Source organism: Homo sapiens, chromosome 2 (genome assembly GCF_000001405.40).
Source record: "Homo sapiens chromosome 2, GRCh38.p14 Primary Assembly".
NCBI lineage: Eukaryota > Metazoa > Chordata > Mammalia > Primates > Hominidae > Homo > Homo sapiens.
The window spans coordinates 80,171,358-80,192,719 of NC_000002.12; the positions used below are offsets into that span (position 1 = coordinate 80,171,358).

Here is a 21,362-nt window from a genome sequence, read left to right on the forward strand (position 1 = left end):
CCAATCTCAAATAAAGCAGAATGGAGCTGGCAGGCCAAGGCTTAGAATTGGAGATGGACAGCAAGGTTCTATAAAAGTAAACATTGTGGACAGTTTCTTAGACAGTGATTTCTTAGGGTATCTGTTAAGATACTGTAACAAAGAAGCCCCCAAATATGTGACAACCCAAAGGTAACAGCAATCTAGGATGGGGAGGCATCAGTGCTCAAGGCACCTAGGCTAGCGAGTCTCATGCACTTTCCTCCATGCAGCTTCCATTTTTGAGTCTAACAGCTGCTGTTCTTGTTGCTGATTCCCAGGTTGTTGTAATGAAAAAAAGCGATGCCCAGGGAAAGCTCTGCCTTAAGGACATGATGCTGAAATTGCACACATCACGTCAACCCATATTCCATTGTCCCAAACTCAGTCACATGGCCACACCTAGTGGCAGGGGAGCTGGGAAACAAAATCATCAGCTAGGAGGCCATATGCCCTGGTAAAATTCATAAAAGGAAGAAAGAAAAGTAAGGCTAGCAGGAGACAATTTAATATCTCTGCTGTGGGGGATCCATTGCAGAGGACAGATGTGTTCATCTTTACTAAAATGCTTTGTGTATTTTAATAGTTAGAACACTTTGGTTACAAATAATGAGGGAAAGCAAAGAGGAAGTATTATGAGGGTGCATGTAAAGCAGCAAGGGAGAAATCATAGAAAAGGCAAGCCTAGCAGGATCAGACCCCACAAAGATCATGACAGGGAGCGGTTTCCATGTTTATGGCTACTCGGGGACCCCTGCAGTTGGACTTTGTTGATCTGCCACCTCCTGCACTAAAATGATTTGGCTATACCGTCACATGTGTTTTTTCAGCCCAACTAACTGGTTTGTTCTGCTTATTCCTCTTAATTTATGCTTGTATATGAACTGCCTTGAGCTTTACTCTCCCTTTTAGCAATATATAATTTCTCCCTCTATGCCAACCAGAAAATCATTTCATTGTTTTGAGACAGGCTATACAGGTTCTAGGTTACTGGCCAGACTATGGGGTTTGTTCCTTTAACCGATACTGTAGGAAGGACACTGTTCTCTGAAAGGAAGCAGGGGGAGAAGGTATGGTGTCCTCTTTTATATACTCACTCCTCATTCCACTCAAAGTGTGATCTAAAGACCAATAGCATCAGCATCACCTGGGAGTTTGTTAGAAATTCAGAATCTCAGGCTACACCTCAAGCCCACTGTATTAGTTTCCTAGAGCTGCCATAACAGCGTGCCATAAACTGGGTGGCTTAAACAATGGAAATGTATTGTCTCATGGCTCTAGAGGCCAGAAGTCTGAGATCAAGGTGTTAGCTGGGTTGGTTCCATCTATTGTCTCTGAGGGAGAATGTGTTCCTTGCAGCTCTTCTAGTTTCTGGTGGTTAATTGGCAGTCTTTACGTCCCTTGGCTTATAGATGCATCACCCTGATCTCTGCCTTCAAGTTCACATGGTGCACTCCCTGTGTGCAGGTGCCTTCTCACATGCCGTTATTTATCAAAACACTGGCCATATTGGATTAAGGGCCCAGTCTACGCCAGTGTGACTTCATATTAACCTAATCATCTACAATGATGCCATCTTCAAATAAGGTCACATTCTGAAGTCCTGGGGGGTGAGTACTTTAACATATAAATTTGTGGGGAAGGGGTACAATTCAATCCATAAAAACCTCTGAATCAGAACCTGTACTTATATAGGTAATTTGTATGCACATTAAAGTTTGAGAAGCCATGCCTTAACATTCTTCAAAAAATAATGTGCCACCAACACACTTACTACCACCTTTAATGTGTAATGGAAAGCAGCCTAGTCTTGGGTTCTGGATTCTGAACCTACCCTAGCCACGTCACGTTTAGTGCACAGCCATGTGCCAGGCTCATATTCAGCACTCAGTAAACACTTATTGGATGAGTGAAAAAAGTGGGACAAAGTGCTTTCATGTCTAAAATTGGAATAGTTATTTCAAAAGAATATTGTAAGGACTATCAGATTTACCAAATATTTAAAAATGGAAAGCATGACTGTATCAGTCAGAATCCAGTCAGGAGACAGACATGCAATTCATTTGAACAGAGAAATTAGTATCTATTAGAGGAGAGTAATTATAAAGGTATAAAAAGAACTCTAAATAAGACCTTAGAACTTAGGGAGATTATTTAAGGAAGGGACAAATTTTAAATGAAGGGACCTTCTCTCCAAAGCTTGAATTCAGACTTCACTGGAGAAGGTATAGTTTCCTCGCACTGGATGGTAAACACGTTTTATGGGTTGGCCTGTATGCTCCAGGGTATAGGCTGCACAATGCTGGTGAGGGGGATCAGAGGGAAGCAAGGTGCCAGGAACCTGCTGCCTGTCAAGGGAAGGCCTAGGGTGCATGGCGTCTGCATCAGGAGGTCTGCAGTTACATGGATACTGGACTGCAGACAGAGCCCTGAGCTCACCTAGGGAATGTACACAACACTGGATGCCCCTACAGTATACCACTAGTAGCCTGCAATAGGAAGATGTGAAAAGAAGAGCAGTACACCAGAACCGGGAAGAAAAGACTCTTCTTCTCTCCCGCTCCAACACCCTCTACTGACATAATTTAATGTCATGCCTGTTGCAACAAAGAAATGCTAAAGGATCCATTCCACTATTGCACAACAAGTAATTAAGGGCAGACTTTGTAGCTGGGAGGTAATAGATTGATGAGTGGCACATGCACTGTGCCAATATAAAGTCGTTTTCTCAATGCTAATATCAAATATGGCCTCAGAGAATAAGAGAAATAAAAAATGTGGAATTCTTAATGCCTTATCCGATAGATAAGTAGTTAGTTCTCCCTAGCCTTTCTCTAATTCCCATACATACACTGCTTTTTTCCAACTGTGTTGCCTCATAATATGATTTGGAGGGGTGAGATAATATTGAAAATGGAAGTTGTTACTAAACTTGGGAACTGAGCATACCTTGATGATGGTGCTCACCTATGTATACTCTTGTGTTATGATACCCGCAGCACAGCAGTGCCAGGCACTCACCCTGACTCCTAGTTATCTAAGACGTCATCCTCTGGGGCTACCTTCCTTGGGCTGTTTTTCCAAGACTCTGGACCATTTATGCCATAATTGAGCTCATTTACACAATCCTAGGCCATCTCATTCTTGCCCATGGCTTTCATTACTCATGAACACATTCCTCTGACCGGGTTGCTATTCTGAGTTCCTAACGATAGTCTCCTTGAAGCCAATCTTGAAGGTCACAAAGACACCCCAAACTCAACATATTCAAATCAAGCTCATTTATTATCACCACATTCACCCCCAGTCTGTTATTTTTTTCTCTTTCTCAAAGAATGGCAACTTATGTTTATGTTATCTTTCTCTCTTTTCCTTTACCTTCCATATCACTTCCATGTCAGAGTTCCTGGATCTTATCCCCTAAATACCTCTTGATTTTGTTCACATCTCTCTGTCTACATTAGCACCACCCACATGTGTACTACATCACATATGACCTGGACCACCATACAGCCTCCCAACTGATTTATTAGCAACCCCTCTGGCCTTTTTCCTAATATGAATCTAATATCACCCTCACCTTCACTTCTCTCCCACTGCTTCATATTTTTCAATGTTTCTTCATTGCTGTTAGGACAAACACAAAACTCTTGACATGACTTTCAAAGTCCTGCATGGTCTAGCTCTTCTCCACCTCTCAAGACTGACTTCACCTCTGGCCTTCTCTTGATTTCTCTGGATCAGCTACACTGGCTTTTTTCAACCCACTCTTTCGGGATATAGGACCTTTGCGTATGCTCTTCCCTGTGCCTGGAATACTCTTCAGATCCCACCTCAACCATTCCCTGATCACTCTATCCAGCTCAAATGCCCCCATTATCAGCTCCCATTGCACCTTAGGAACTGCTTCTCCCTGATAGCACTTTTCAGAGTCAAATGTTATATTTTTTCATTAATTGTTTGGTCAATGCCTATTTCTAGACTGTAGGATCTACTTTGGCAGGATACGCATTAATAATTCCTCACTATTGTATTCTCAGTGTCTAGCCCAATGCCTTTTATTTAGGCAAAATAAGGAATCTAAATATTGGAATTCATGTGCTAAAATTTCTTGCTGAAATTTACTCTCTCCTTCAACAAATATTTAGTGAGCACCTACATGTGTTTGCTTCTATATTTGGAACTGTGCTTCCAAATAAGATTCCTGCTCTCTCATGTTGTATTAGTTTGGGTTGTCTAGAGGGATAGGACTAATCGGATAAATGTATATATGAAAGGGAGTTTATTAAGGAGTACTGACTCACATGATCACAAGGTGAAGTCCCACGATAGGCTGTCTGCAAGCTGAGGAGCAAGGAATCCAGTCTGAGTCAAACCTCAAAAGTAGGGAAGCCAACAGTTCAGCCTTCAGTCTGTGGCCTAAGGCCCAAGAGCCTCGGCAAGCCACTGGTTTAGTTGTAGGTCTAATAGTTCAAAGGCTGAAGAACTTGGAGTTCAATGTTCGAGGGCAGGAAGCATCCAGCACAGGAGAAAGATGGAGGCCAGAAGACTCAGCCAGTCTTATCCTTCCACATTCCTCTGCCTGCTTTTATCCTAGCTGTGCTGGCAGCTGACTAGATGGTGTCCACCCAGATTGAGGGTGGGTCTGCCTCTCCTAATCCACTGACTCAAATGTTAATCCCCTTTGGCAACACCTTCACAGATACATCCAGGAACAATACTTTGCATCCAATGAAGTTGACAATATTAACCATCACAAGTCCACTCCTTGTCACCTTAAACCCATACACATCTTTTGAAATCATACATAATCTTCAAATAAAGACAATAATAAGGTCATAATTATGCCTAACATAATATAGCTATCCTTTGTACTACCAGAAACTACCAATTCCCAACCCAAATGCTATTAGATAAATTTAACAACACTGAAATGCTGATATGAAGTCAATAAATCTTATGTCACATGACAAAGGAAAAAGAAATAAAATGAAGATATTTTCTTAGTACAAGTGTATACAAGCTGAAACATGTTCATAACAAAATAGAGAGGAAATACGACAATTACCATCTTTGTTTCTGCAACTGGTCACGTGTCATAGCTGGTATTGATGACTACCTTCTTCTACTACCTATTCTGTATTCCTTTTGCCTTCAGCAATCTCCTCAGCAGGTCGTGGTTTTTTTACCTGGTGGAGTGACACAAACCTTCATTCCTGTAGGGTCTATGTCATTTGTAGTCCTGCCTGGATTGGGTTGTTATAGTTTTCCATTGACCTTAATCACAGGGCATGATAATACTAAGAGATGCCCTAAGGGATCTCCTATATTCCATGCATACTCTTCTTTACCTCCACTGTGGAGTAGTAAACTGATTTTATCTTGATAATCTGGGTCAATCACCCCAGCCAACCCTATAACTTCCTTTCTTCCTTTGTTGCCTGTTGACTTAGAGGTAGGGGGAGCCCAAAGTGGCCAAGTGGCAATCTTAACTTCCAGTTTAATAGAATCGTTGTTGTGTCTTCTGGTGATGGTGAGAAATGACGCTTCCATTTCCATCCCTTGATTCCTGGAACCATGAATCCTGGCTATGGGAGAAACAGTACCATATATTGGATGCTGATTCAGATCATACACAGCCTTCTAGAGAACTTTGTCCCAGCCCTGCAAAGTATTGTCACCTAGTTGGCATTGTAATTTGACTTCAAAAGGCCATTTTACCATTCTATCAGTCCAGCTGCTTTAGGGTGATGGGGAACATGGTGAGACCAGTGGGTTTCATGAGCACAAGCCCACTGCTGCACTTCTTTAGCTCTAAAGTGAGTGCCTTGGTCAGAGGCAATGCTATGTGGAATACCATGATGGTGGATAAGGCATTATGTGAGTCCATGGATGGTAGTCTCGGCAGAAGCATTTCATGCAGGATAGGCAAATCCATATCTGGAGTAAGTCGATTCCGGTGAGGACAAATTGCTGCCCTTTCCATGATGGAAGAAGTCTAGTATACTCAACCTGCCACCAAGTAGCTGGTTGATTACCCAAGGAATGTTGCCATATTGAGGGCTCAGTGTTGGTCTCTGCTGCCAGCAAATTGGGCACTCAGTGGTGGTCATAGCCAGGTCAGCCTTGGTGAGTGGAAGTCCGTGTTGCTGAGCCCATGCATAACCTCCATCTCTGTTACCATGGCCACTTTTTTCATGGGCCCACTGGGCAATGACAGGGGTGACTGGGGAAAGAGACTGAGTGGTGCACATAGAACAAGTCATCCTTTCCACTTGATTATTAAAATCCTCCTCTGGCTATGGTCACCCTTTGGTGAACACGCACATGAGATACAAATATCTTCACAGTTTTTGACCACTCAGCGAGGTCCATCTATATACCTCTTCCCCAAATTTCTTTGTCACCAATTTTCCAATAATGCTTTTTCCAAATTCCTGAACATCCAGTCAAACCATTGGCTATAGCCCATGAATGAGTATATAATCACACATCTGTCCATTTCTCCTTCCAAGCAAAGTGCACAACAAGGTGCAATGCTCAAAGTTCTGCCCACTGGGAAGATTTCTCTTCACCACTGTCCTTCAGCAATGCCCTAGAAAGGGGCTGTAGTGCTGCAGCTGTCCACTTTCAGGTGGTGCCTGCATATTGCACAAAGCCTGTGTAAATCAGGCCCTTGTCACCTTTTCCTCTGTCAACTGATCATAGGGAAATATCCATGAGGCCATCAGTGCAGGCTGGGGGAGAGAAGACAAGGTGGCAGGAGTGGGGACCATGGGCATCTGAGCCATTTCCTCATGTAACTTACTTGTGCCCCAAGGACCTGTTCAAGCCTGTTCACGTACATACATATCATTTACATTTGATGATGGAATGGTGCTGTACATTCCCCCACTTTATGGCTAGATGGGTCAGAAAGCACTTGGTTCATGATAGGCAGTTCAGGTCACATGGTGACTTGATGACCTATAGTTGAACGTTCAGTTTCTAACAAAGCCCAGTAACAGGCCAAGAGCTGTCTCTCAAAAAGGAGATTAGTTATCTGCAGAAGATGACAGGGCCTTGTTCCAAAATCCTAGAGGCCTCTGCTGTGATTCACCTATGGGGGCCTGCCAAAGGCTCCAAACTGCATCCCTATTTGCCACTGACACCTCAGACACCATTGGATCTTGATGGGTCACATGGCTCAAGTGGCAGAGCAGCTTGCACAGCAGTGTGGACCTGTTGCAGAGCCTTCTCCTGTTCTGGACCCCACTCAAAACTGGCAGCCTTTCAGGTCACTCGAAAAATGGGCCAGAGTAATACACCCAAATGAGGAATGTGTTGCCTCCAAAATCCAAATAGACCCACTTAGCATTGTGCCTTTTTCTTGGTTGTAGGAGGGGCCAAATGCAGCAACTTATCCTTCTCCTTAGAAGGAATATCTTGATAGGCCCCACAACACTGTACTCCTAGAAATTTTACTGAAGTAGAAGGTCCCTGAATTTTAGTTGGCTTTATTTTCCATCCTCTGGCACACAAATGTCTCAACAATAAGTCCAGTGTATTTGCTACTTCTCACTCACTGGATCCAATCAGCGTAATATCATCAATGTAATGGACCAGTATGATATCTTGTGGAAGGGAAAAGCGATCAAGATCTTTGTGAACAAGATCATGATACAATGCCAGAGAGTTGATGTACCCCTGAGGTAGGACAGAGAAGGTATATTGCTGGTCTTGACAGCTGAAGGCAGATTGCTTCTGGTGGGCCTTATGAAAAGGAATGGCATTTGCCGAATCAGTGGCTGCATACCAGTTACCAAGAGATGTGTTAATTTGCTCAAGCAATGAAACCACATCTGGTACAGCAGATGCAGTTGGAGTCACCACTTGGTTAAACTTATGATAATCCACTGTCATTCTCCAAGATCCATCTGTCTTCTGCACAGGCCAAATAGGAGAGATGAACAGGAATGTGGTGGGAATCACCACCTCCATGTCTTTCAAGTTTTTTTTTGTTTTTTTGTTTTTTTTGAGACGGAGTCTCGCTCTGTCGCCCAGGCTGGAGTGCAGTGGCATGATCTCAGCTCACTGCAGGCTCTGCCTCCCAGGTTCACGCCATTCTCCTGCCTCAGCCTCCCGAATAGCTGGGACTACAGGCACCCGCCACCACACCGGGCTAATTTTTTGTATTTTTAGTAGAGAAGGGATTTCACCGTGTTAGCCAGGATGGTCTAGATCTCCTGACCTCGTGATCCGCCCACGACAGCCTCCCAAAATGCTGGGATTACAGGTGTGAGCCACTGTGCCCGGCCAAGAATCACCACCTTTGCATATTTCAAGTCCTTGATGATGGCACTGATCTCTGCAATCCCTCCAGAGATGCAATATTGTTTTTGATTTACTATCTTTCTAGGTAGAGGCAGCTCTAATGGCTTCCATTTGGCCTTTCCCTCCATACTAGCCGTCATCTTACCAGTCAGGTAGCCAATGTGGGGGTTCTGCCAGCTGTTAAGTATGTCTATGCCAATTATGCATTCTGGCACTGGAGAAGTGACCACAGGATGAGTCTGGGGACTCACTGGACCCACTGTAAGTTGGACCTGAGCTAAAACTTCATTAATTACTTGACAAACATAAGACCCCACTTTAATTGGAGAACTATAATGATGTTTTGTGTCCCTTGGAATCAACATCAGCTCAAAGCCAGGGTCCAGTAGTCCCCGAAAGTTCTGATCATTTCCCTTTCCCCAGTGCACAGTTACCCTGGTAAAAGGCTGGAGATCTCCTTGGGCAAGGATGGGAGAAAGATTAACAGCATAAATTATCAATAGTATAGTGGGGTCTTTCCTCAAGGGGACCCAGTCTCTCCTTCATTCAAGGGGTTCTGGGTTTGTAAACTGGTTCAAGTCTGGAAATTGATTGAGACACCATGATTCTCTATTTTTATAATTCAAATTAGTTTTTTGTTCACTCGACCTGGCAGTTTTCTGCCTATATAAATTAAATAAGTATGCAATAAGCTTGCTGTCAATTTCAGTTCTAGGAACACTGTGATTAATTAGACAATGCCAGAGCTCTACATGAGTCAGACTATTCTGATTGCTGCTTTGCATCTGCTGTCCATTACGGTAACTATGCCCACCTTGCCTTTGACAGTTGAGTGCTGCCATTTGGCCTCTGCCACCTCAGGATCTAACTATTCCTGTTGCATTTAAATTTTGTAGTTGAGTGACTGCGGTTCCTCTTGTAAGATCTGCCATACAGAGAAGAGCAATCACAGAGCCCTTCAAGGATGCAGGTCCTGCTCTCACATATCTATTTTGCAAAGTATTGTTAAAGGGTATATCTTCTGGACCCTCCCAGCTAAGATGAGTAAGTCTAAATTGACTCGTCTATCCCAACATCCCAATCTCCCTAAGCCTTTTGATCCCTTCCTCTACATTAAACCAATGGAGAGCAGGCATTTGCAGCTTGCTCACAGTGGCTTTTGATCTGTATTTCAGCTAACCAAGCAAATAAACGATTAGACCATTTTTTTAACTCTCCAAGCTGCAACATTAAATGCAGAATCCCTGCTTAGTGGACCCAAATCAATAAATTCAGCCTGATCCAACTTTATGTTCCTTCCATCATTATCCCATACCCTTAATATCCATTCCCATGCCTGTTTTCCAGTTTTCTGCTTACATAAATTAGAAAACTCAAGGAGTTATTTTGGAGTGTAGTGCACTTCCTCATGGGTTACACTCTCAACCTCACTTCTAGGGGCTTGCCAGGACTTTAGTTATAGGTCTAGAAGCAAACAGGTTTGGGGTGGGTCCTAAGGAGAATCAGCATTGTCTTGCCTAGCAACTGCCTCAGGGGAGGCCATCACTGTTGTCTCAGGCAGTACAGGATTAATCTCTGACAAAGGTGGAAAGGCTGATGGCAGCATGGGTGGGGAAGGAGATGTTGCCACCACTGGGGGTGGGAAGGCTGTTTCCTCTGGCAGAAGAGACTTTTCAGAATTTAGGAGTTCGGTGCCCACAGCCTCATCAGGGTCCTCCCACACATCCCCATTCCAAGTTGCAGGGTCCCATTCTTTTCCAATCAATGCCCTCACTTTAATAGTAGACACCTATTGAGGCTACCTGTGCACCTTTTTTCAGGTCAGCCACTCACATGTCAAGAGCTTGTGTCTGATTTTCCACAATTTCAGCTCTTTCTCTACAGGAGATAAGACTCAGGGTAATCTTGGAAGATTTGAGGCTCAGTATGTGCTTCTGAAGCTGGGAGCTAGAATCCCCGAGTTCATCATTTTCTTTCATCACTTTGTCTAGTGAACTAGGCAACCAACTTCATTATATTCCTTGGTTCTCCACGTATGGTCAAAGGTATTATGTATAGAGTCACTGTATTCTTTGCCACTCACAAATGGTGAATCAGGAGTATCAAATGAATTTATTTTGCATAACTGTCTAAACAGTTCATGCCAAGGACTATCAGTGTTCTCCATGCTATTAGAAGTAGAGTCCTTAGCATTTTTTGTCTAATCATATTAAGCAGCCAACTCCAGAAGCCCCCAAATCAACTAAAGAACTCCATCCTTAAAATTCTGTTCCTCTAGAACCACTCTTGGTGACAACATCTGTGTTAGTCTGGGTTCTCTAGAGATACAGGACTAATAGGATAAATGTATATATGAAAGGGAGTTTATTAAGGCATATTGGCTCACACAATCACAAGGTAGATTCCCACAGTAGGCCATCTGCAAGCTGAGGAGCAAAGAAGCCAGTACAAGTCACAAAACCTCAAAAGTAGGGAAGCAGACAGTGCAGCCCTTAGTCTGTAACCAAAGCCCAAGAGCCCCTGGTAAACCACTGGTTTAGGTGCAGGTCCAAGTGTCCAAAAGCTGAAGAACTTGGAGTCCAATGTTTGAGGGCAGGAAGCATCCAGCTCAAGAGAAAGATGGAGGCCAGAAGACTCAGTCAGTCTAGTCCTTCCACATTCCTCTGCCTGCTTTTATCCTAGCTGTGCTGGCAGCTAATTAAATGTTGGGTCTGCCTCTCCCAGTCCACTGACTCAAGTATTAATCTCCTTTGGCAATACCCTCACAGACACACTGAGGAACAATACTTTGCCTCCTTCAATCCAATCAAGTTGACACTCAACATTAATCATCACACATACCATGCTCATTCTGATGGGGAAGGACAAAAACAAAACAAAAAACACCCACACATACATGAGAAAAATTGCAGATCACAATAGGCTCAATGAAGAAAATCAAATAGGGTGGTGTGATAGAAAATAAGGATTAGATTGAAAATGGCCTCAGGAGAAGAGTTGGATTGCCCAAGTAGGCCTCTCTGAGGCATTGCATTTGAGCTGGATTTTTATGGCGAAAAAGCCAGCTATGTGCAGTTGAGGACAGAGGTTTCCAGGCAGAAGCAGTAGTGAGTGAAAAAGCCCTACAGTGGTAAGGAGCTATCTGTGTCAGAGAAAATGAGAAAAACTTTAACATGCCATTATTCATAGGGTTAACAAGGGCAAGGCGTTGACCCAAAGGCATGACATCTGAGCACCACTGCATGTGTGATTAGAAGGTGCCTTAGAAAACCAGTTATTCAAAGGGAGAAGGAGCATGATCACTTCGGTTAGGACAGTTTGCTGTGCAGGAGCATTATCATACTGCAAAATGCTTGTCAATACTGTTTACATAGAATACAACCTGAATGGTATTCCTGGTATTATTCCTGGTGTTATTCCTGGAAATTCTGCCTGCTTCCCACCGCTAAATGTCAATAGATCCCCCCAGACACCATTTATCGGAAAATACCAACCTCTCCCTCACCAGCATACACACTTTTCTACATGTCAATCAGGGGTGGTAGTGATCTTGATTAGAATGACTGGAACCTTTTCAGTTTACAGATGTGGAAATGGAGGCCCAGTAAAGGAAAGCAAATAAATGGCACAGCTTGGGTTTTCTTTTCTGACTCAATACCTGGTACTTATTTTACTACAGCACAGCTAGCACCCATATTTTTACCTCCAATCATAGTTGGTTTTGGCAGATGGAAAGCAAGCAAACCAAAACCACAAAAATGCTGTGTAAAAAGAATATTTTCCTAATATTCCTCTTTGATACATTCAGATTTCTATGGATGACATTTTCTTTTAATGGTCTTTATCTGTGTTTTGAGGGAGGGTAAACTTGAAAGCCCGCCTTCTGTTCAATGCTGCCCCAGACAAATAAGTTTGATTTAATGCAATAAACATTCTTCCATTGCTCACTGCAGCCGGATGTTGTTTATAATGTTTCATCTGCCAAAGCACATTGTATATTATCATTCAGATGCAAAATAATTTATGGCTTTAACTCCCTATGCATTTAGATGAGTAAATCACTTGATATTTAGAAGAAATGATTGTTGTTTAATTTTTTGCTTCACTTAACTTTTTAGATATCAATACAACTTTGACTTCATGTTTGTTTTCGATTAACCTCGCGATTAAACGTAAGAAGAAGTGTGTGCTCTTGGGTGTGTGTGTGTGTGTGTGTGTGTGTAAGCATTGTATGGGGCATCTTTGGGGAGATCTTAAATCATAACAAGTCATCAACTTGTGAGCTTGTGCCTTGTTTTTTGAACAACTAAAAGTCATTCTGAACAAATTATGTTGAATGAGATGGATAATAAAATTGGATTTTACCATTGTAGGCTATAATAATAATAATAATAATAACCACAAAACATGTTATCTTTTAAAAGTAATTTAAAAGGAAATTATGCAAAAAAAACCTAACTGATGACAGCATCATAAGAAAAGTGTGAGTTCTTCAGTGTGATACATTTGAAGGAGACAATGCTCATTTGTATTTGTACATTCTGTATATTTATTAGGAAATCAATCTTATTAATTTTAGCATGTCATTGACAGACAGATGCATATTTATTTTTGTTTATACATTTATATATTCATTAAGTGTGATAAAGAAATAATAATAATACTAACATTAAGCTTGTATTATGCACCATCACAGTGCTTAGGGCTTTGATGGCATTCTCATATTGCTTCACAGTGGTAAGAGTATAAATGATGGAATCATAGCTTTATAGTGGCAGAATAGTTTTGATGAATTGAAGCATGTTTGAATCAGGGGCCAACTAGAAGGAACAGTAGTATTGATGAAATATAATTTTAATACTGTGAGTTTCATACCAAGACTTAAACTGGTCTGAAAATGTGTGGTCAAGGAGAGCCATTTTGACCACCTGCTTGAGTGGATAGGATTTAGTGTGCAATGAACTCCCCAATGGATTGGGGTATATCCAGAGTGCTTGAAGAATGTGTGCCTGTCTTTTCTATACTTTAGTTTGTTTTATATACCCTCCTAATAGACAGTGAAAAGACAAACCTTGGCTCAGTCATTTTAATTTAGTAACAATTGAGTTCATTTTGTTTAAAGGCTTATGTAATTTCTTCGCTAATGCAATTTTTAAAATTTCCAATGATTGGCTTTATCTCACATATTTAAAAGATGTGCAAGAAACATCCTATGCTTAAACATCCTATCAGCACATCCTAAAGTCAGTTTCCCATAGCATAGTTCTTCTGTATGCTAGTATATTGGCACTGCTATTTGCTGTGTAATAAATTATCCCAAAACTCAATGGTTTAAAACAACAGGGTTTATTATCTCCTGGTTCTGTGAGTTGTGAATTCAAGTATGGCTTAGCTGCATCTCTCATGTAAGGTGTCTCACAAGGCTGCAAGTCAGCTGGGGCTACAGGAATCTTAAAGCTTCACTCAGAGAAGATCCACTCCAAGTTAATTTGTGTGGTTATTGGCAGGATTTTGTCTCTTACTGGCTGTTGGCCAGAAGTCACCCTCAGTTCCTTGCCAAATGGGCTGCTCTGTAGGTCAGCTCGCAACATGGTATATAGCTTCATCAGACTGAGCGAGTCAGAGGGCAAGAGAGGGAGTAGTAACAAGAGGGAAGTCACTGTCTTTTGTAATGTAATCTCAGAAGTGACACCCCATCACTTTTGCCATTCTGTTGATTAGAAGCTAATTACTAAGTCCAGCCCACACTCAGGAAAAGGAATTGCAAAAAAGCATGAATACCAGGAGGTGGGGATCACTGGGAGACATTTCAGAAACTCTCTGTGGCAGGTAGTAATGTTATGAGGGTTTAATGTTCTAAAAGATTGTGAAATGTCAGGTTTATCACAGGACCTTTCAGAGTCTTGAGCATGCTAACTGCATTGCAAATTGTAAGTGGAAAGGGTCTATGGAATGGAGTGTTTCTCAATCCTGTTTGTTCGGTGAGTCCTTTTTGTTAAAGAGCGGCATGTTAAATGATCCTTTCTCAAAACCTTTGGTGAATGGCTGCCTACCATTTTCACTTGACACAGAAGTTACTGAGAATATGAGAGGTGCATTGCCATTGGCTGCAGAACCTGGGCCAGTGCACTTATCCTGAAGCTGTTAGGTTCTTTGCATCTTATTAGATTGACACATGGTTTATTTATGCCACCATGATCATGATTTCCACTGGGTCATCTCTTACATCAGCTGCTGGCAACATAAGCCATATAAGTAAAAAAGAGTGTAAGAGTTGATGTTGAACACATTTATGAAATGTCTGTGAGCCAATTGTTGTGGAGATTAGCTTCCAGCTGGTGCTCTCCTTTCTCCCTTTGTGGATGGCAAAGCCAGACTGTGGCCAACTCTGCCACTTCTGTCCTTAGTCCAACCCCACCCCACCCCCATCCCTATGGGAATTGGAAAGCCACCAGTATCCATCATTATCTTCTTCACTCTGGAAATAAAGATGTTGGAGCCTTCATACATCACTCTAAAAAACTGTCAACTCCTAGAGACACATTGCCTTATTGATTTTACTTTATTTCTCATGTCTCTCCTTTAAAAATGAACAATAAATTGCAGCAGCTCATGTATAGAAGGACTCCATTGCTATTTAACTTCTTGTTTGGATCTTTAATGGCCCATGTGATTTGTCCTTCTCAGACAGATATCATGGCCTTGATATCACGAACTGTAGCATGCATGTCTGCATGTCCCTCCCCAGTACAGCAGAGTTCAGTGCCCTGGACACTTTTCTAAATAGGCTCTGGGTGTTTGGTGGATTGAGTAGATTGTCACGGCAGGTGGGGCATAAGCATGGTTATTATTAGCTCATAGTTAAATGTCAGAACACATTAACAATGTTTGTTTGTATTTTAGCCTGATAATTATTCTTTTTTCTCATTTCCTGCCACTTGTAAATATTATTTTGCACATTTCCAGTGGGGAGGCCTGGAGAGAAGATTTTGATCGTTCATACCTCTTTGATGCCAAGCCCACTTCTTTATAGTTCTTATGAGTTAAATTAAATCAGGTTTTTTATTGTGTCTACATCTATGTTTATGTATTTTTGTCTCTCTGCACATCCACACTTTTTTCTTATTTATGTCTCCTACAATTTCATGAGATAGTCTTTCAGCAAAACAAAAGTCACCAGGAAGTCTCACTAATCAACTCACCAGAAATCTGCAAAAGAAGGGTTCCTGCTGGAATATTGCCTCAGTACTAATCTATGGGTGGTTGATGCATCTAGAACTTACACTGGATAGCATATTAAACACCTTGGTGAATTATGGTGCTTGCTCCAGCTGCTTTTAAAAAATTATTTATTCATTGATGACTTTTGAAGGTGAGCAGATGTTTCCATTTGCTCATTTTGGTTTATGGCCCATTCTGCAATTGGTATTGTAGTACACACATTTCTATGTAATATATATCTCATATGGTCCAATGCATTAGAAAAAGAGAGAAACTTATAATAAAAACATGGGATCACTGGCAGCAAACAGTATGCCTGGAGCTCGTGGTGACTTCAGCATTATCAGAATGTTGATAGCATTACATCTGTTGTGTCTGAAAAGTGCCAGAAAATGGTGCTAATTTATAACGTAGGAGGAGGGAGGTGAAGAAAGATATGGTGATGAAAAATAGTACACAGTAGAAGATAGTCAACTAAATAGTAATTTGTTAAGTTTTATTCACACTATATAACAAAGTGCTGTCACAGGTTTCTGGTTTGGTTTATAAATCAACTACGTATGTTGCTCATCTATACTTCCCGTGGAAACGGCTATTCTAAATAGGGCCTTTCCTTTTTTACAGAAAACATGTTTGTATTTCTAAGGGTTGTGTGGTTCAGCCCAAGAACGAGGGCAGTAATAGAATAAAGTAAGGCCTTGGGCTACCATTGAACTTTACAAGGCAAAGGGCAGAGAATAGGCAGAAAAACAGAGGGAAATTGGAACCAGCAACATCCGTAGAGGAAGAACAGAGAGAAAGAGGGGCAGATGGTTGGGAATGATAGTGAGAATGATGCTTATAGTTATCACAGATGCCTCTCAATTTTTAAAACCTTGAATGTCTACATCTCTGAGAAATTTAAACACTAAAAAAAAAAAAAATGCTTTTTTCTATCCCTCATTTCCACTCCTTTTATCCTCACCTTACAACCATATGTATCTTTTTTTTCTTCCTAAGATTCCATTGCTAAGGTTGTAGATGTATAGGTTAGACAGAGTATGTTCCCAAGACATCAGAACAAAGTTTACAGGATGTCCTGGTGTAGCCAGAAGGACAGAGAAGTTTGTACCTGCCTGTGTGGAATGTTTACAAGATCCCGAGTAAAGCCAGTGCCCCCAACCTATTGTTTCTCCATTACTGGCTGCTCTTTGAAGACAATATTTTCGAATTTCATCTGTTATTTCAAGGTTTTATCTATGCTAAAATGCATATTGAATATTTGAAGCTGACATCAGTCACATGTATCCTTCTAGTCTAGAGGGAATGTTTTAGGTTGTCTCATGAGACTGAATTTTGATAAGAAAATGTGAATGTGAAGATCCTTGCAAGGGAGAAAAGTTACAAAATAAGAAGATTTTTTAGTTTTTCTTTTTCTTTTTAAGCAAATTCCTCTGCCCATTTTGTGACAGTGTTTTAAGACCAGATGGGAGTGTCCCTGGATCCTTTCAGCTGGTGGCACTGTATGAGTTTTCTATTGCTGCTGTAACAAATTACAACAAACTTAGAGGCTTGAAACAACAAAAATTTATTATCTGATAGTCTGGAGATTAGAAGTCCAATATGGTCTCAATGGACTAAAATAAAGATGTGGACAGGGCTGCATTCCTTCTTGAGCCTCTAGAAAATCCATTTCCTTGCCTTGTACAACTTCTAGAGGCCACCCAATTCCTTGGCTCACAGCCCCTTTCCATCTTCAAAGCCTGTGACAGTAAGACAAGTCCTTCTCATACTGTTGTCTATCCTGTTCACAGCAGCTAGGAAAGGTTCTCCACTATCAAAGACTCATGATTTACATTGGGACCACTTGGATAGTCGAGGTAACCTCCCCGTCTCAAGATCTTTAATTGTGTCTGAAAAGGTCTTTTTGCCATGTAAGGCAACACATTTGCAGGGTCCTGAGATTAGGATGTGGATATCTTTGGGGGAGTGCCTACCATAAGCACTAACTAAAACAAACTCTTTCCAACCTACTGTGTCCTGTGCAGGTGGTCACTTTTTTTTTTTTTTTTTTTTTTTTTTTGAGACAGAGCCTTACTCTGTCACCAGACTGGAGTACAGTGGCATGATCTCAGCTCACTGCAACCTCCCATCTCCAGGTTTAAGCACTTCTCCTGCCTCAGCCTTCCGAGTAGCTGGGATTACAGGCACCTGCCACCTCACCTGGCTAATTTTTTGTATTTTTAGTAGAGACGAGGTTTCACCATGTTGGCCTGGCTGGTCTCAAACTCCTGGCCTCAGGTGATCCACCTGCCTTGGCCTTCCAAAGTGCTGGGATTACAGGCATGAGCCACTGCACCTGGCCTGGTGGTGTTTTTAATAAGCTGCCTCAGTTAACAAGAGTACTGGGCCTGGTCAGAAATTTCTGCCAATGCTGAGTGCTGATTCTCTTCTGATATTAATTGAAGTCAGTGTCTTGTCAGCCTCCACTTCTCAACTCTAGCTGAGCTAGCCACAAGAGAAGTTGGAGTCACATCTTTGATTCCTTCTCCATGCTTACAAAATCTTGTATCCCATTCTTCCCTGCAGCATGGGATCCTGAGACTTTGGCAGCCATCGTCAAAGTTTGCCCTCCACAGGACAGTAGCATTGAGTTCCTAGTAGCCTTCAGGATCACATTGTCTAAGCCTATTATTTTCCTAAGGGAGCAAAGAGGAGCTCAGGGAAGGAAAATAAATTAGCAAAGATGTAGAACCTAGACCTACACAGACTTCCAGGCCCATGCCTGGGCCGCCTATGTGGCGTTGTTCCACCTCACAATACCAGACTAGAGGTGACTAGACAAGGTCCTCAACCAGTTAAAAAAAAAACAAAACAAAAACACACACACACACAATAAAACAAAAAAATATTTCCCCATAAGAAAATGTTCCAGGTAGAAGTGTAATAATGTCAAATATTTAGGAAGCATTTGTACTAACAAGGATAAATCAGAGAGTTTTGTTGTGTGTGTGTTTAATCCTCAGTTAATCAGAAGATGTTAAAATGGGAGCATTCCTTCATGAAAAGCATACACTTAACTAAGACTTTGAGGTCAGAGGAAACATGAATGGGGAAATCCATGAAAAAAAAATCTAATTACTGATGCCTTTAAGGTCTGGTTTTAGAGATTCAATGTGTGCACACATAGAAACTGAATCTCTAAAACTAGACCTTAAAGCCATCAGTATCATGATTAATAGGGGTTAATGAGGTTAACCCCTATTAACCTTAACAGGGAAGGCTTTGGTTCAAAAGCCTGAAGGAGACCCAGAGCCAGCAAATGTGACATGGGGTTTTACTAGGGGCTGATTACAGGGGAGAGAGTCCAGTGGTGGTGGGCTGGAGAGGAAAACCATCTTACCTGCAGAAGTGGTCCAGTGGTGGCAGGCTGGACCAGATAACCGCATCGCTCAGTGGCAGTGGCCTGGGCAGGAAAACTTCAACCACCTGCAAACAGCATGCGGTTTGTATAGCATTTTCAGTTAACACTTTCCCCGTAATGAACTCCACCTGGCAACCTTCATTTACCCCAAAACTCAGGGCCTCAGTCCTCTGTATGGCCCATGTTCCACAGGATGGGCCGGGGGTTCAGATGTTTATTATATATAAGAAACAAATCTCAGGGTTGGCCACTCCCAGAATCTGTAGCTCAAAACACACATTGAGGTGCATCTGCCATACAGGGTTATTCTAAGGGTATGCTGAAATCATTGCTATCAGGTGCATTTACCCTTCTATGTGGCCCCTTGGTTTGACTACTGAGGTCAGTTGCAAAAGGTAATATCCTGGCTTCTATGGTTTCTGGCCTAAATACAGTCCCATATTAAACTCCTGTTTGAGTATTTTGTGAAGTCTCTTCAACTTAGAATGCCATCTCTTATGGTTTCTTAATTTCTAAATTATAGGGATTCCTTTTGCAACAGCAATGTCCATCTCTGAGGCAGCTGGCTGTTCAGTCGTTGCTGTTGATTATTCTTTATCCTATGAGCTGTCCTGGGAGGAGACGAGACAGCTGATTTCCATGATCTGAAGTGCAACTTGTTCCACCGCCTTTAAAATAGGCTGCAGCTGTTCTAGTGTTTTGACCGCTAGGGTCTTATATGTATGGTGACCTTAAACTTCCTCAGTGAAATGTTCTCTATCATAGTCATATTTTACACTATTCAAAAAGTTAAATCAGACAGCATTTTCCTGGACTACTTTGCCAGGAGATGACCACTTTTGTGCTTTCCTTGTCTGAGGAAATTTGCAATTTGCCAATATTTTAAAAGGGAAGACAAAGCCATAAGACAGAATAGTAGGAGATATGAAACTAGCTTAGGGAAAAAAACAAACTTTGGTAAGATTTTACTCACACTTCCTATCAGTATTCCAACAAACCCCAGCATGAATTAAGTCTTCTCTTCCTTATTGGCTGTCTTTATTTACTATCTCTCTTTCTTCCAAGAAGTATTTATTCAGTACTTGCTGTGTGCCAGAAGTGGTACTAAGGACTAGTTAAGATGTAATCCCTGCAAATCCTGTCAGGAGATTGACTTCAATTTAGATGAGCAAGTGAGTCTCACTTCTTCCCATTCAGATGCCCTTTTTCTTCCCTTCTTCACCTTTTTCTTCACTCCTCACTGGTTTCCAACTGGAAATCAAGTAATCTCAGTATATACTCAACTTCAGATGTAGTCTCTTGAGTCATCTTAAAGTTGAGACTGAGAGAGCAAGTGCTGTTTAGAGAAACTTGAAAATATGAAGAGTAACAAAAAACATTATTTGAGAAGTAAAAATGCCTAATATATCTCTGTAGGGAAGAGTGAGTTATTACGTATATATTTCAACACTGCAGTGTAAATGATGGTGACTACATGGATACTGATTAAGGCATTTCATCTACAAACAGTACTTAGTTCAGTTTACTGAAAACAACTCAGAGTTTAGGGTGTGGTTAAAGATAACCAAACATGGACATCTTTTACTTCTCCAGGTTTAGACATAAAGCTAAGACATAAGGAAATCCTGATTAATTGGCTAGTCATGACCCATTCTAGAAAGTAGAATTATTCAGAGCATTAGGACCCAGTGAAAGGTCCTACCATAATTCAAACTGATTAGTGAATTTTCTCTAAAATTATACATTGAAAATATGGGATTTTTCATCTTCAAAAAGAGTTTGAGGTCTGCAGTGGTGAATATTCATGGAATCACAGAATTGCAGACATAACTTTGGAGGAACTCTGATCTAACCATCTCATTTTCACACTGATAAGGAAAATTATTTATTTTATAGATAGGTAGAAGAAATGTTAAACAACTATCAAATGTAATCTAACTACGTACAGGCAAGACTGAAGTTAGAAACTAGGACACCTTTCTTCTAATTCAAAGTTGTTTTCACTCTATCGCAAGCCTTACCTTAGCCAAAACCACCATACGATTGTCTGTAAAGAAGACTCTATTGCCCAGTGGTCATGATGATTTAACTCCTTTCTGTTTTCCTTTCTTCTTGATTTCTTGTCTTCCCTTTTAGTATTTATTCATCTTCTCTCTGATTAATGAGAATAGTAAAATAAATCTTAAAATGGGCTAATCTGTAAAACTTTTCTTTTTTTTTCTTTTTATTTTTTGACAGAGTCTTGCTCTTGTCACCCAGGCTAGAGTGTAAGGGCACAATCTTGGCTCACTGCAACCTCTGCCTCATGGGTTCAAGCGATTCTCCTGCCTCAGCCTCCCGAGTAGCTAGGGTTACGGCACTAGCCACATTTTTTGTATTTTTAGTAGAGATGGGGTTTCGCCACATT

General features: G+C 41.4%; 1 protein-coding gene across 11 annotated transcripts in view, besides 1 other annotated feature; it reads left to right on the forward strand.

Annotated features, from left to right (window-relative positions):
* Window positions 1-21,362, forward strand: part of CTNNA2 (catenin alpha 2) — a 1,463,404-nt gene that overhangs the window by 985,981 nt on the left and 456,061 nt on the right. The window lies entirely within an intron of this gene.
* Window positions 19,494-19,694: a silencer, noted in NCBI's record as "peak3752 fragment used in MPRA reporter construct". NCBI's record gives its function as "represses an SCP1 promoter by STARR-seq MPRAs in K562 erythroleukemia cells {active_cell/tissue: K562}" and the evidence as "EXISTENCE:reporter gene assay evidence [ECO:0000049][PMID:32103011]".